At 34.7% G+C, this 16,880-nt stretch overlaps 1 protein-coding gene across 5 annotated transcripts in view; it reads left to right on the top strand.

The window, feature by feature from the left end:
• STAT4 (signal transducer and activator of transcription 4) overlaps positions 1-16,880 on the top strand; it is a 122,021-nt gene that overhangs the window by 71,131 nt on the left and 34,010 nt on the right. For all 5 annotated transcript variants that reach the window (NM_001243835.2, XM_047445604.1, XM_047445603.1 and 2 more), the window contains 5 exons: positions 4,141-4,239; positions 7,276-7,368; positions 10,695-10,773; positions 13,951-14,036; positions 15,508-15,659. In NM_001243835.2, the coding sequence (NP_001230764.1) occupies positions 4,141-4,239; positions 7,276-7,368; positions 10,695-10,773; positions 13,951-14,036; positions 15,508-15,659 (509 nt within the window). The remainder of the gene's footprint in view (positions 1-4,140; positions 4,240-7,275; positions 7,369-10,694; positions 10,774-13,950; positions 14,037-15,507; positions 15,660-16,880) is intronic.

The following is a 16,880-nucleotide window of genomic DNA, read 5'->3' as shown; positions in this document are numbered from 1 at the left end:
AAATATGCATTGCTGTCATGCTTGATGGCCCAGAAGACATTATTTTATGGAAAAATATGAGTGCCAATAAATCTAAGTTTAAAGGAGATTCAGAAAAATTGAACTCTAAAGTGAAGTAGTTTTAGGAAGACATTAGCCAATTTATTACACATATACTTCCCTTTTAATATATGTACACAATACTGATATATTAGTAAATATATATATCTATGTTGAAATAAATCAAGAGTTTTACCAATAAAGAAAAAATAAAAATTCTAAGTGATAAAAAGCATTGTGGTATACTTTGTATTTTTGTTTCAAGGCAAAAAGCATTACTAGAGATAAAGGTCAGTGCATGGTAATAAAAGATTTCATTGACCACTAATATATAAAAGTCTAAATGTGTATGACAGTAGCACAAGAAGAAAAATTCACAGAGTAGATTTTAACTTACCTTTTTCAATGACTGCAAAAATCTATCAGGCAAAGAAAAATCAGCAAGGATGCAGAAATTTGAACAAAACAATTAACAAACATGGTTTAATAAACCTGTATGAAACATTTGTACCCATCAACTGCAAAATACATATTTGTTGCAAGCTCACATGAAACATTTACAAGATATTAATATGCTGGGTCATAAAACAAGTCTCAACAAATTTAAAATGATTGAAGTCATTCAGAGAATGTATTCTGATTAAAATTAAATTATTCTAAAAATCTGTAAAAAAAAGATAAATAGAAAATCCCTATGTATAGAAATTAACAAATACATTTTTAAATAAGTCACCTTAGGACAAAGATGAAATCCTGATGGAAGTTAGATGATTAAAAAGGAGGAAAATTCTATCAATATCCACATGATATATGATTTGTATATGCAGAAAATTCCAAAGAATATACAGATATAATTTTAGAATTAATAAGAGATATTACAAAAGCATTAGAATCAGAGTTTAGCAAGGTTGCTGGATTCAAAATCAATATACAAAAATTAATTATATTTCTATATAACAGCAAAAACAATGAGGAAAAAGATATTTATTCTAGTATCAAAAAATACCATCTACAGAAATAAACCCAGTGAAACACATATAAGATTATAATGTTTAATAGAGAAACATTAAAGAAGACATAAATAAATAGATTAGAACACAAGTATAAAGATGCCAAGTCTCCCTAAATTTTACCTAAAGATTTAGTGTCATTCAAATTCTCAACCAGGGTGTGCATATGTGTGTGTGCGTGACTTGACAAGTTGATTCTAAAATGTATATAGAAATATAAAGAAGACCTATTCTACTTGACATCAAGACTTACTATAAAGCTGTAGTAAAAAACACAAAAAGATTATCTATTGATGAAGCAGAGAGAGAACCATAAGATGGAATGGAGTCCAGAAACAAGCCCACCCACAAAGGAACACTTGATTTATGACAGAGCTGGCCCAGCAGAGCAGTGGTAAAAGAATAAGATGTTCAGTAAATGTTATTGGAATTTGGTAGACATGTGGAAAAAAATGAAAGAAAACTCTCATTATTAACAAGCTCCAAGTTAATTACAATCAATGGTGCAAAACCACAAAGAAAAATCTCCATGCCTGCAGCTTACAGAAAGATTTCTTAAATCATAAGAAGCATAAAGTTTAATAAATGATTTATTAAAATTTAAAACCTCTTCATTGACACTAGAAGATAGGAAAAAGATAAGCCATAGAGTAGAAGGTATTTGCAATAAATTTGCATGAGAAACTGATACACTACAGAAAATGAGCAGTTTCTCTTTTTCTGGCATGCTGCTTCCTTCCTCCCACTAACACACACTTAAGGGTTTGTTTTATTGTTATTTTGAGGTTCACGTACTTAGTAACTGCTGAAAGGTAAATATGAGTATGTCTTTGATACTTAGGAAAATAGAAGTGCTCATTTGTTACTGAATCTATAATGATCAATTTTCCATAAGATGTTTTTGTTCATACATTTAAGTGAGGGACTTAGGAAAAATGCAAAAGGAAAGTGAAAAGATATCCTGGATGAAAACAGCGGTGATTCCTGGCTCTTAACAAAGAAGAAAAAGTGAGTAATTTAACCATACAAAGTATGGGGGAAACTGAATCTGAAAAGGAAGGTAGAAGAAGTTCAAGTAAGAAAGGAAAATGAAAAAAGTGTACAACACAACTGAGAAATGTTGAAAGGTAGTATCTGAATGATCGGCATAGAAATATTCCTGCAACTGTGAGAAAAACAGGCAAATAATGGTAATTCTTGGGTTCTTAGAGGAACTCTGAGAACTAAAAAGGATCCTAATCTTGGATGGCAAGAGTTTTCAAGTTTACATGAATAGCAGAGCTTCCAAATTAGCCCTAGGAGAAGCCCTTTTTTTAACAATGGAATAATATTAAAATAAATTGAGAAAAATGAGAAAACATAGCTTTTCTTGGAGAGTTGAATATAGGTTACATGAAAAAAATAATACATGGGAAAATTAACATCAGGAACAAATTCTAACTAGAGAGAATCTGAAATTGTCGACACACGGAAATGGAAAAAATGGTATCCCCGCTTCATAAATAGGATCATTTTTATTTCTTTACCTTTTGAGTTTCAGTCAATTTATTTTTGTTTTTTTCATTTGGAGACTTTTGATTTAAAGAGAAAAAAGAAAGAGTTTGGAAGACTGTAAAATATGTAAGAGCAGGAATTCAGATAGTTGGTGTTTACTCTTGTTTTACAAATAGAAGTGGTAATTAACATACATCATTTAATAAAACAAATAGAAGTAATTAACAGACATCATTTAATAAAATTGTGGCAGCAAAGTCAAAGTCAAAAAAGTTTACAACCGATAACCTATTTTTTCTCTAGAAAAATCTTCTAGTTTATATCTGTATAGTCTATTTTTTATTGTTAATTTTCCACTTTGTGGATTTTTGTTTTATTTTTTCTGCTGCTAACCTTTTGGTCATTTCATATATATTCACACCAGCTTCAGGGAGGAGGGCTGAGGGAAACTAAATAAATGCATTTTTCTACTGTGCTTCCTGTTAATCCTGCCCTGGAAAAAGTCCAGTAACAAAGAAATTTAATACTATTGACTAAATTGATAGTGTTGTTCAGATTAGTTCTATCCATTAAGGTTAGAAAACTCAGACACCTACAGAGGCCTTGCAGGTAAGGTAAATGAGTGCTTGGGACACTCACTGGTAGGCACTGTGTCAACCCTGGGTAGTACATACTTTCTCCAAAGGGATTCCAGTATTTTAATTTGCACCAAGTAACTGATGGCTGAATTAGGCCCACAGGCTGCCAATTTACAGTATCTGCATCATTAACCTTGGTAATAAAAGATGTATATGCTTAGATGTCATAAAAATATAGTTGCTGAAACAATGTATCATATAGTTTCACTCTAGTATACTAATGCAGCTATGAGCTAGTTGACACAAACAGTACCAAATAGGGACAGAAACAAATGCTTTAAGCAAACCATGACACACAGTTAACAAGTGAAAAATTGAGACCACCTCATTCATGATAATTTATAGGAAAGTAACTTTTATGTAAAACCTGCCCAAACTTTGGGAGGCTGAGGCAGATGGATCACCTGGGTTCGGGAGTTCGAGACCAGCCTGACCAACATGGAAAAACCCTGTCTCTACTAAAAATACAAAATTAGCTGGGCATGGTGGTGCATCCCTGTAGTCCCAGCTACTTGGGAGCCTGAGGCAGGAGAATCACTTGAACCCGGGAGGTGGAGGTTGTGGTGAGCTGAGATTCTACCATTGCACTCCAGCCTGGGCAACAGGCTGAAACTCTGTCTCAAAAAAAAAAAAAAAGAAAAAACCTGCCCAAAACTTAAAGTAAACTGACCCTCCTAAGTGTGTGTTCAGGATCTTTCCTAAAAAGGTGCTCGAGAACCATTTTTCATTGTTAAAAGTTATTTTTGAGGACAAAGAGATAAATATGCTCTCTTTAGGGGTCTACGTTTACAGTATGAGTTTCTCTAACTTTCTAATGGAACAGAGTATTGGAACAAATCCCAAGTAATTTCACATATTTAATAGGAGATTGTTGTTGTTTTTCAAGAGGTGATATTTTCTTATGATACATATATTTAAGCTTTACGTTAGTTATTTTTGCTCATTGTTTTTTTTTTCAGGGAAAATTTCATGGAAATCCAATGCATGTAGCTGTGGTTATTTCAAACTGTTTAAGGGAAGAGAGGAGAATATTGGCTGCAGCCAACATGCCTGTCCAGGTAATATTTTCTGACCTTGTGATCTTGTTATCACCTTGAACTCAATTTTTCTGAAACAGAAATTATTATCTTTGGTAGGGTACAGTGGCTCACACCTGTAATCCTAACACTTTGGGAGGCAAAGGTGGGAGGATCATTTGAAGCCAAGAGTTTGAGACCAGTCTGGCCAATGCAGCAAGACCCTGTCTCCAAAAAAAAAAAAATTAAAAATTAGTTGGCTATGGTGGCACATGCCTATAGTCCTAGCTCTGTGGAGGCTGAGATAGAAGGATCACTTGAGCCCAGCAGTTCAAGGTTGCAGTGAGCTATGTTCACACCATGTACTCCAACCTGGGTGACAGAAAGGGACTCTGTGTCTTTAAAACAAAACAAAAAAAAAAAAAAAAAAAGAAAGAAAGAAAGGAGACATTTTTAAAGAATCTTTTCCAGCTTCTTTTACTTATGTTAGTGGTGCCACCATCCTTCCAGTCACTTGCAATCAAGGTCTTAGTATCATCTTTGCGTAGTTCCTTTTCTTCACCCCCATGCTAAGACAATTACCATGTCTTTCCAGAGTGTATGTCTGGAATCTTATCTATACATCATTTCCCATTTGTACTGGCCACACTCTGTTCCAGAGTCCTACAATATTAGCCTAGAAATATAGTAATCACCTCCAAGCTGAATTTCTGTCATTCCCACTCTGCCTCTTCCTGTATGTTCTGGTCTTGCTCTACAGCTGTCAGTTGCTTCCATTTCCTACCTCACAGTGTAAACCAGTCCGTGAGCAGGAATTTTGTCTTACAGAAGTTCCATGAATACTTGCTTGTTGATTGTGTGAGTGTACTTTACTCTAACATAGTTTAGATTATATTTTATCCCATTTTCCTGGATGAATTCAGAGTTCCCACTAAAAACAAGTAGAGGAATCAATGCAGTCTTTAATGAATACTTTTTTCAGTTAATCCTTACAAAAAGGAAAGGGTGTGTAATTAATTTTCCAAGTGACATCCTCCATAATTCAATAAATCATACCATTATATTTATTTTTGAAGGTCCAACAAAAGTTTTTTTTTTGTTTTGTTTTTGAGACAGAGTCTTGCTCTGTCACTCAGGCTAGAGTACAGTGGCGTGATCTCGGCTCACTGCAGCCTCTGCCTCCCAGGTTCAAGCAATTCTCCTGCCTCAGCCTCCCAAGTAGCTGGGATTACAGGCACCTGCCACCACACCTGGCTAAGTTTTGTATTTTTAGTAGAGACAGATTTCACTACATTGCCCAGGTTGGTCTTGAACTCCTGACCTCAAGTGATCTTCCCACCTTGACCTCCCAAAGTGCTGGGATTACAGGTGTGAGCCACCGCCCCCGGCCAAAAGTATCTGTTATTTAACTCTTAAAAAATTCTCATGTTTAGTTATTGTCAGGTTATGGCTGTTTTGGGAGGACTTTGAAGTTTTGACAACTTTATTTTTTAGATGAAGAAGGATGGTATCATTTTTATTTAATATTAAAACTATAGTAAGTTTCTAAAGTACATATAGTTTGATTTAGTGCCTTTGGGGTAAAAATTAAGATACTTTTATGAATATATGGTATTCTCACATGTATTCTCAGCTGTCCTTTTTTGAACCCTTCTTATATCTAGTTATTCGTCTGTGCACGTGTGTGTGTGAGAGAGCGTGTTCTCTTCCAATGTCAGATATCAGTCAAAATGTTTGTTTGAGTATATGCTCATCAAAGTCACTCTGAAAATAATTTGCTAATACCACATACTACCACAAAAGAAGTGCTGGTTATTAAATTTCAACTAGGTAGACAAATAATGGAGGCTGATGATAGAAAGAGAATTTTATAAAGGCTTTACCAATTGTAAGAGTGTGGTATACTGGAAGAACATCTGATCAAGAGTCAAGGACATGGGCTCTACTTGAGGTTACTGCACTGAATTTGCTGCGGATTTTAGTTTATCAACCTTTCTAACCATGGCTCCCCACCCAACTTAAGATGAAGGGGCTGCTTACATCTCTAATAGTTATAGAACTTTTTATCTAAGGAACACACCCAGTATCAGATTATTAGAGTAGCTAAGACGTTCTGCTTGGAGGAACTGTCTTTTTGCTTAACCAGGCTAACATTTTTATGTTTTCTTTCATAAACTCCCTTTGTTCTAAAGTAAAAACAAATCTCATCCCAGCAGATTCAACATCCCCAATTCTAAATTTAGGGCCAATTTAATGTAGTTTCGTTATACCATTTTAAAAATTACACATATTGGTTTTATACAATTTCAAAAGTTATATAGATGTTATAGAGAATTAGAGACAAAATTTTTAAAATCATCAAATTATCTGTAATTTCACTATTCAGAGAGAACACATTGGTAAGATTTTGGTGTATATATTCTCCCAGTCACATGTACTTGAGTTTACATATCTATACATCTGTCCATGTACTTGCAAATGTATTTATACATACATGCGCATATATGTTCAAGCAATAGAGATCATATATATATGTTTATATTTATGTATGGTGGGCTTGTTTGTTTGTTTGTTTGTTTGAGACGGAGTCTCGCTCTGTCGCCCAGGCTGGAGCGCAGTGGCACGATCTCAGCTCAATGCAACCTCTGCCTCCCAGGTTCAAGTGATTCTCCTGCCTCAGCCTCCCAAGTAGCTGGGACTACAGGCACACGCTGCCACACCTGGCTAATTTTTTTTTGTATTTTAGTAGAGACAGGGTTTCACCATGTTGCCCAGGCTGGTCTCAAACTCTTGAGCTCAGGCAATCCACCTGCCTCAGCTTCCCAAAGTGCTAGGATTATAGGCGTGAGCCACTGTGCCTGTCCTATATAAGGTATTTTTATAATCTGCTCTAGTCTTCAAATTTTAACCCTTTAAATTTTATGTCATTAAATACTTTTTTACAGCATGATTTTTTAATGACTATAGAGTATCCATATCACATTGATCCAGACCTCAGGTCGAATTGTATGCGGTATGTATTGCATTCATCATAAACCTTTTCAAAACCAGAGAGATTTCAAGACATTCTTTTTCCAGGGGCCTCTAGAGAAATCCTTACAAAGTTCTTCAGTTTCAGAAAGACAGAGGAATGTGGAGCACAAAGTGGCTGCCATTAAAAACAGTGTGCAGGTAAGTGCTTTTATACAGATACCTAGAAAGTCTAGATACTGTCCCCATATAACTATGCACCATTCTCCCATGCACCCAAAGTTAATGTATACAGAAATCATAGGGCAATTTGTTAATAAGATAAATATCTCTCACATACTATGTTTATATAAGAATATTTCTTTATGGGAAACATTTTAACTTCACCTTGAACTTCTTTGATATGGGGCTATTCAGGTTATCTATTTCTTCTTGAATGAGCTTTGGTAATTTGTGTTTTTCCAGAAATGTGTGCATTTGATCTAAGTTGTTTTATTGGCATAAAGTTGTTCATAATGTTTATTGTCATTTGAATATCTGTAGAATCCGTAGTAACATCACATCTCTCATTTAATATTGATAAATTTTTTTCTCTTTTTTCCATAATCAGTCTATCTAGAGATTTATCAATTTTATTGATCTAGTGAAGATGTCTTAAATAAGACTTTCTGCCATGTTGTATATAAAATAGGATGTTAATTTCCCTTCCAAAACTTACATAGCATTCATTTCCTTGCCATTTATAAAAATAATAATTCCATCAAAATAAACTATAAATATTTAAAGATCAACAGTCCCATATATTATCTGAATAGTAGGCAGAGGGTTTAAATTTATTTTCAGACTTCTGATTTAGTGATCCTCCATAACAAGTAAAACATGAATGCAAAAGTCTGGGCTTACACTGTTGTGAGAAAGAATCAGACAGACCTAGGACAAAATACCTTGGCACATTATAATGTCAAAACCAATGGCTCTACTCACTCTGCAAGTGTGTAGATTAATAATCTACCATTATTAATAATCTGCCATGCAAGGCAGGAGATTATTATTTTACTACAGTAAGAATACTTAAGCACATTAATCAAGTGCACAGATGGGTTTTGCATCCAGCACAAATTCCTTTTAAAATCCTAAGGAGTAGGATGCAGCAGAGGCCAACATTTTTTGGACCCCCGAGCAGATCTTTACCAGGCCTGTACATGGATCCCCAACTGTTTTGAGTATTGACAGCCAATGGCTTCTCTGGTGAATTGACTCTACGGGGAGACTTTGGCTGCCTTCAGACAATGACTGAGTGACAGGGGGTTGTGGGGAGAGAGGCCCGACATCTTGCCTCAAGTTGGGGTTAACCTTTGGTGCATGTTATGCTCCTGGGTTTCTCAAACCAAAGTTAGACCTAAGTGAAGACCACATGCTCACTTAGCTCCATCCCCTTCCTTTTCCCTCTCTTGTATGTCCTTTCTGCTAAGAGGACTCCTTCAACAAATCCCTTGTAGCTGATCCCTGTCCCAGGGCCTGATTCCAGGAAGCCTGGCCTGACTTTTAGGCAAAGCAATGCTTTTCAATCAATGTAATTCCCCCACTTATGCCATAACCTCAGTTTCTCTACGGAACATTTGGAATGTAGCTCTCAGATCATTCAGAGAGCTTTTGAAGATTATTGCTGGGTATTTTCACCTTTTGCAATTACTGATGACAATATACTCTAGAAGCCCCTTAATTACTTACCATAGCATTGACTTTTCAGAGATCTGGCATTGGTTTAATACACTTTTCATTAGAAGATTCTGCAAGATACTGCCTTCTTTTAGCTTTTAATTAATTTTGAGATCAAAAGATGGAACCACAGTATATCTCTGCTTTAAAGCTATCATATTTTATTTTGTACATTTTCTCATGCATGTAGGTTCCATGAGTTTAGTAGCTCAGAGCCTTCCATGAGACTTTGTTCTGCAGAAACTTAGCATCAAAGTAAAATGCTACAAGTGGTATTGGGGTATACTGAAAAGAAAGAGTAAAGACTGAAGCTAGACTAGACTAGATTTGAATTCTAGCTTGAGTATGTATTATTATATGACTTTGGGCCTCAGTTTCCTCACATGAAAAATGGAAATAGTTTACTTTGCAGGTTGCCGAAAGGATAATCTATGTAAGGTATAGGCACAGCACAGGTTGCTCAAAATTGGTAGCTGTTATTACTACGGGTGGGTAGACAGTGTATCATGTAGTCAATAGCTACTACTTTGTTTCTTTTCTAAGGTTTATAAGTATGGAGAATGTCATTAAGAGAATGAGATAACAGGGATTAGAAGAGTAATAATAGCTACTACTTATGAAGCATATATTTGGTACCAGGCACTGTTTTAAGCAGTCGAACTAATGTAATCCTTATAACAACTCCTTGAAGTAGATACTGTTATCCTTCTTCGTCCCACCCCCACACCCCTTTTTACAGGCAAAGAAGCTAAAATGCAAAGACATTTGCCCAAGTCCATGCAGCTAATAAGTCATAGAGTTGGGACACAAATTCAGACTCTCTTCCTCCAAATTCTATACTTTTTGTAACCAATCATTTAAAATTTGGATTAAATGTTATTCTGATTAAAATTTAAAATTTGTGATGAGAGCATTGCTGTGGTAGATATATGTTTCCTTAGAGAAGACTTCTTGGAATAAGCAGGCAGTAGAAAGTTTGACTTTTCTAAGAAGAAAAGGAAGTACAGTAGTCTGAATCTAGGAAGTGCAGTGGGTCTATCTTTGGTTAAGGGTGGGGTCAAGGTTAAACTGCTGGACTTCCCACAGACTTCTCACTGAGCACCTGAGTGACCTTGGACAAGTGAGTTACTTCACATCTCGTGGCCTCTGCTTCTTCCTCTGTAAAAGTGAGGATAACCCACTTCATGGGTGTTGTGAAGACTAAAGGAGATAATATAAAAAAGCCTTTAGCCCAGATCTTGACATTTACTATTATATCTGAACAGGAAAACATCACCAGGTTTGGGGAAAAGTAAAGTAAAAATCTCAAAGACAGAATAACGGGAGACACAGAAGAAGCATAGGCATATTTCAGGAAATAGAAAGAAAAAAATATTTAAGCTGAATTGTCATAAGCTACAGCATATTTAAATGAAGATTTCAGCAAAAAGTGATCATTGATACATTAGTACAGAGTTATATGAAATACCCAAGGGTTCTAAAAGGGCAAAAATATTCATATTCTCCAATTAAAAAAAGATTATATGCATAGCATCATTTGGAAGTAATTAAGAAATGAGCAGGTAGATGCTGAAAGACTTCCAGGCAAGTAAAAAGAGAGAATAGCTGGAAGGGCAAGTTCAATCTGGTTCTTCCAACATTATCCAACTTTTATATGAATTAGCTCTTTAGAAGCGTGCGTTCATTATGGTCTTTGGTTGCTGTTGGAGATTGGAAGCACCAAGCAGTTTTTTAAAATACTTATGATGTTGTTTGATTGACATGCTTAATTGTGACAGCAGAGTGAGTATGTTTTCTTTTGTGAAAAGATGACAGAACAAGATACCAAATACTTAGAAGATCTGCAAGACGAATTTGACTACAGGTATAAAACAATTCAGACAATGGGTAAGTTTTTGTTTTTTCTATAATTATGCATAGAGACAAAAAGGCATCTTGAGTAGAGTTTTCTCACTGACAGAGTGGATAAATTTGATCTACTTCCTTAGGTGAGCCTAGGGAAATACAGGGAGTATTTTCTTGTTTTGCTTCTTCCTTATCTCTGCATATAAATATGTCTGTGTGTGCGTGTTTAACTGTGTGTGTACCCATCTATATCCAACCAATTCCAAGTAAATTACCAACAAATTCAACATAAATTTCAAACTGCATGAGGAATTACCCCTACTTCAGCATAGGTCTCTAAAAAATAAAAACCTTCTCCTATAGAATCAAAATATAATTATCACAGAAACAAAAGTAATAATTGCCTAACATGATCAGAGAATTACAAGTAGTATTTTAATAATATAATTTTCTAAGATTATAAAATAGAAATGTGTTTCATAGGAGAAAGCCTAAAATATAGGCAAAAGCATTAAAAAAATAAAAATCTCGTGAAATCGCACTATCTACAGATAAATACTGTCAAAATATATTTCCTTCCAGCCTTTTCTCTGTATGTTCACACACATACACATCTATGTATTTATTTTCAAAAAATGAAATCATATTGTATATAATTTTGTGTACTGCATTTAACGTTTTATTTTTTAAGTATTTCCTCATGTCAAAAAGTCTCCAAAAACATAATTTCAGTAATTGCATAAATGTCAAAATGTAAGGTCACTGCAATTTATTTTACTATTTTTTCTGTGGTTAAACACTGAAATTGTTTACAACTAGGTGTTTTTTAAAAATGAAGGGGAAGAGAACATTTACAAGTCCTAAGATTTACAAATAATAATAGAAGAATAGTTTAAAGTATGTTGCAATTAATGGGACAATTGACAAGATTCTAATTAGGTCTAGTTTAGTTGATGGAATTGTGCTGATGTTAATTTACTTGTTTTGATCATTGTGCTTACTATGTTTATGTAAGAGAACAGAAGAAACTAGGTGAAGGATATATGAGAACTCTGTGCTATTTGTGCAACATTTTTGTACCTCTAAAATTATTTCAAAATAATTCAAAAAAATAATCAGATATAAACTTTCCATTTACAGAATCATCTTCGACTATTCAAATGTTGGCCTAAAATGTATCTTGAAGGAAATATGAATGATTGTGGCCAAACATTTAACTTTTCATACATGAAGATGAGATGTTTTGGGTTCTTCTCCTGATATACTTAAGATGCCTTGACTTCCAGGAAATATTATTCAAAATGTTCACAATTATTTGTACATACAACTTTTCCATTCAGAAGAAATGGCACAAACATGGGTTTCATTATCAAAGGGGAGTCCATAACCCTAAAAGGGTTTAGAACAACTGTAAATTTAATCAAGTGATGTTCATTGAAGGCAGCCTTATTCCAAATTTTATATGCAAACTACTAATTTTAAGAATTAGATTATTTGAACTTAATTTGTTATGATTTGAGTCACTTTTTCAGTGCTTCATGTCCATTATGAATTAAAATGATCATTTTTATCACCTGAATCCACAAATATTTATTTTGTTTGTCCCATCCAGTTGTAAGTGAAAAGAAAAATACAAGGGAAACAAGCTATTATATCCTTGGTGAAGACGGGAAAGGTTAGCTAAAGAAGTTTTCAGTTGCCAAAATGCTACATAAACAAGATTTTGCTATGTATGGGATCTAGGAGTTAGTGAATTTGTGAATCATTACAACCAGAAATGAGTTCCTGGAGATTAGTCCTAATTTGTAGAGAAATTTGCCACAGTGTTGTTCTGGGGCCTCTTTTTCACAATTACACAAGTCAAATCAGCATTCCCAGCCCCCATTTTTCATGAACATGAATGGTTGGTATGAACAGGCACTTGCCATTGTAGGAGCAAAAAGGGAATCTTCTCCCTTCACCCTCTGAAGGTTGATTGAATATGGACTAATAAAATGTAGATCAGTAGGAGAAAAAGGCATGCAAATTAATTTAACATGCACAGCATGGGAGAATAGCAGGAGAGTGGTTACCCAGTAATCCAGTGAGGTACAGATACTTATATGCCCTTCTTCATAAGGGAAAGGGAGATTGGAAATGTAGAAGCAAATTATTTTTAAAGTTAATGAATGGACCCAATGCTCAGGCAGTGGTTAATAAATAGTATTCTTGGAGAACTGACTGGAGAACAAACAACGGTTTGGGACGAAGTTTGGGCTCTAGGTGTGGTGTTTAATTTTCAGACTTTTCCTCTGTGATATGAGTTTTAAGTTTCTCTGGTTAATGAAATTTCAGGGAAGGGATCAAAGGCAATTGTGTTCCTCTTAGGGGTCCAGTTTCTAGGTAGATCAGGGAGCTTCCGAGCACTTCACGTGTGCTATGGAGAGACGAAAGATTGAGAGAGACCTTGAGGCTGCTGCTTTAGTTCCATTATTTTGGGGTGTCATTTTCTGAGCCCCACCACTATGTCAATAAAGTTTAATGTTCAAATTAAATAATATAATGTTTATTTATTGCATGTATCACCCTGTAAAAAAGGATAAATCTTTTTTTTCAGTCAGATATTTTTCTAAGTTACAACTCTGGCCCACTGCTAGTTTTACGATGAGGCGAGCGCATTTTGAAAAAAAAAAAAAGAAAAAAAAGTGGGGGAAAGTAAAGAACTTAGTCTTTATTAGTTCATGAGACTAGGTAGATAAGACTGTAACTCTATCAGGCAGTTTCTCATAAAACCTGCATATGAAGCAGAGCAGGGAGGGGTATGTGAAGGCAACAGAGAGTCAAATATGATTTAATCAGGGGCACAAAGGGTGATCCCTGCTTTCCTTACTTTTACCAAATAACCAAGTATATAATTAATGTGGAGGTATATAGTAAGGCATCCATTACAGCAACTTTATCTCCTCTGTCCACCACCACCAAAACAAAACAAAACAAAACACCCAGTGCAGAATGGTTTTTCCTGAAGCTCTAAAATAAAGAGGTCCTTTTTTGCATGCTTGGATGTGATTCTCCCTGGCAAAATGAGCAGACAGACTTCCAAGCTCACCTCTAGTGAACCCAATTAGTCTCTTACCACATAAGTTCTCCGGGCCAGGGCTGTTTTAGGATGGTGGATTGAGGCTGACTTGACTTTCAGGAATAGAGAGAACTCTAAATCTGATCTCTTTACCTTTGCAGATCAGAGTGACAAGAATAGTGCCATGGTGAATCAGGAAGTTTTGACACTGCAGGAAATGCTTAACAGCCTCGATTTCAAGAGAAAGGTTAGTGAAGAATTTTAATTTGGGCTTTTGCCTATTTTTCTCCTTTTTTCTAAACTTAGACTAACTGAAAATAATCAAGCTGTCAGATTTTATCAGTTCCATTTACTGAATGAAGAAACGGCAAGGTTTCTAGGAACAGTCCCACGCTGTTTGCCATGCTTCTCTTCATGAGTTTACAATGCTGGACCCCTTTAGAGCCTATTTATCTTGCTTATGTGATACATTTACTGTAGCTAACATTAATTTCAAGGTGGAAATTTTACCCAATTTTTATTTGTCATTATTTCAGACGTGGCTGTTTCAGTTGCTGTACTTAATATGCTGAGATGGGTTCCACTGCACATATATAATTAATATAGTATTTGATGACTACTAAAATTTTATTGGAAAAATAAGTGTTCTAGTTTCTACTCTGAGAAATGACGTAGTGTTAAGCAATTTCCTAGATTTCAAAATAGTTCATTGGCAACTGAACATACTCAATCTAACTTCTTCCAAGGAGAGCAAGAACTTTTTTTCTGGTTTAATGAAATATTTTTAGGGAGGGGAAACATCTCTATTTCACTTTTCTACCTCTCTTGAAAAATACATGCAATTGAAATTTAACCAGTCACTGATAAATCAGTAGTTCATTTCTAAAAGTTCGGCTCAATTTTTTGTGCAGGAATTTGGGTGAGCACAAACAAGTATAACATTTATTTTCACCCTAAATTAATTATAAACTTAGTTATATATCAGATTTTAAGTATGCAAGTAGTTAATCCAAGAAAAAATTTAATGTTTTTATGCATAATAAATCTATGCTATATATTTTTATGCATGACATCTTATTCTACTTTAGGAATAACATTTTAAAAAGAGAAGGAACTTTGACAATAATTCAGTTCATTCAACTGGTTGTATAAATGAGAATACCAAGTTTAAGCAAGATTAAATACTTTGTTCATGTTCATATAGCTTACAATAATGCCAGAACAGAAATTCATATCTTCTAACCCCTAGCCCTTTGAAAGTTATAATTCTCCATTATGCCTCCCAAAACCCAGAAAAAGTCCTAAGAAAAATTAACACAGAAAGGCTCAAATTTTAGTCAGCTCATTTTAATATAAATGAATAACCATCTTTATTAAAAAATAAATTACATATATAAATATCCTTTTAATAAGCAACTATACAGTTTTGTTACTACAAGATTCAATATTGTTGCCGCAGGAGTTACACATTCAATATATTTATACTGAAACACGATGAGAATGTTAAACTGTGGCCATTCTTCTTTTCTCATGACATCATTTATTGTCAATAATTTAATTGTTTGAAAAGGCCTGGCAAATAGAAGCTAGCATTTAGTAAAATATTTGGTCAAAATTTTAACCAAGCCTTTGTCTACCAGGTCAAATAGTTTTGTAAATTGAATTCTAAGTGACTTATTTCTTATGAAACTCTCTTCAGTAGTCCCCTTTGTTTTTAGGAGGCTCTCAGTAAAATGACCCAAATCATCCATGAGACAGACCTGTTAATGAACACCATGCTCATAGAAGAGCTGCAAGACTGGAAGCGGCGGCAGCAAATCGCCTGCATCGGGGGTCCACTCCACAATGGGCTCGACCAGCTTCAGAACTGGTAAAACGAATCGACTGCAGTTTCTAGTGAAAACCACAGGAAACACAAAACTTCAGTGTCACTCAGCCAGAGAACGCAGGTTTAGACTGCAACATCAGTTCATTCAGTTTATTGATGGCTTATTAGCAGCTGAGAAATCTACAGTTGAAAACAAATAGTATAAGTGTTCTTAGTTTTCATTCTCATGGGGAAATCAAGGAAAGCGTCCATTGAATGCTTAATTTTCACATGCAAGATATCAATCGTAAAAGACTCGAATAAATTTTGAAACCAGCAATATACTTTCTTTAAGGACAGAATAAAGAAGCACTAGTTTCAAAATCTTGAAAATAGATATCTCAACTTTAAATGTTAGTTCTGTGTTTTCAACATAGTGATTTCTTTTGTTAAAGATGTGGGTCAGGGATAGAAAATTTCAGTTAGACAGGAGGAATAAGTTCAAGAGATCCATTGTACATCATGGTGACTGTAGTTAATAACAATTTATTGTATACTTGAAAATTACTAAGAAAGTAGATTTTAATAGCTCTTACCACAGAAAAGTAAGTATGTGAGGTAATAATGCATGTTATTCCGTTGATGTAACTATTCAACAAATGTTTACATACATCAAAACATCATGTTGTATACCACAAATATATACAATTTTTATGTGTCAATTTTTAAAAATCACAAATGGTTAATACAAGCTGGCATTCCCGATCTATGTATGCACACATGCAATGAAATGTAGATACTATCCTTTGCATTAGAAGATTAAAATGTTCATAGGGTTTTCCATGTCATAAATGCAAAATAAAACTATTTGATTGAAGGAACAATTGGAAAATATGAAAAAGAAAGAAACTGTTCAGTTAAAATCTAAAATTGATTCTTAAGAGAACAAGTCAAAACAATGGAATATGTAGTAACTGGGGACCCCCTCACTAAAAGCTCTGCCCTGCCAGGCCTACTTGTCAAGAAATGTAAGGAGTTTGACTCATTTTAAAACATTGATTTTCCTTGGGAAGACACTTTGATTTTACAACTCACTGTACTCTGTTGTGAAAACAATAATAAAGGGAGCAATAAAGATCTTAACCTATAATGGAGCTCATACCCCAAATCAGCAGGGATTCAACCACTCTTGCCATAGTCTTATATGTGGAATACTTAAAGTAGAAAGAGTTACTGTATGGCGAGGTGGACTTTCCAAGTCTGATAAGATGTTCTGTCTCCTGT

The sequence above is a fragment of the Homo sapiens genome, chromosome 2, assembly GCF_000001405.40.
Source record: "Homo sapiens chromosome 2, GRCh38.p14 Primary Assembly".
NCBI lineage: Eukaryota > Metazoa > Chordata > Mammalia > Primates > Hominidae > Homo > Homo sapiens.
Note: the sequence above shows the minus strand (reverse complement) of the source record. Positions and strands in the feature narration are given on the sequence as shown.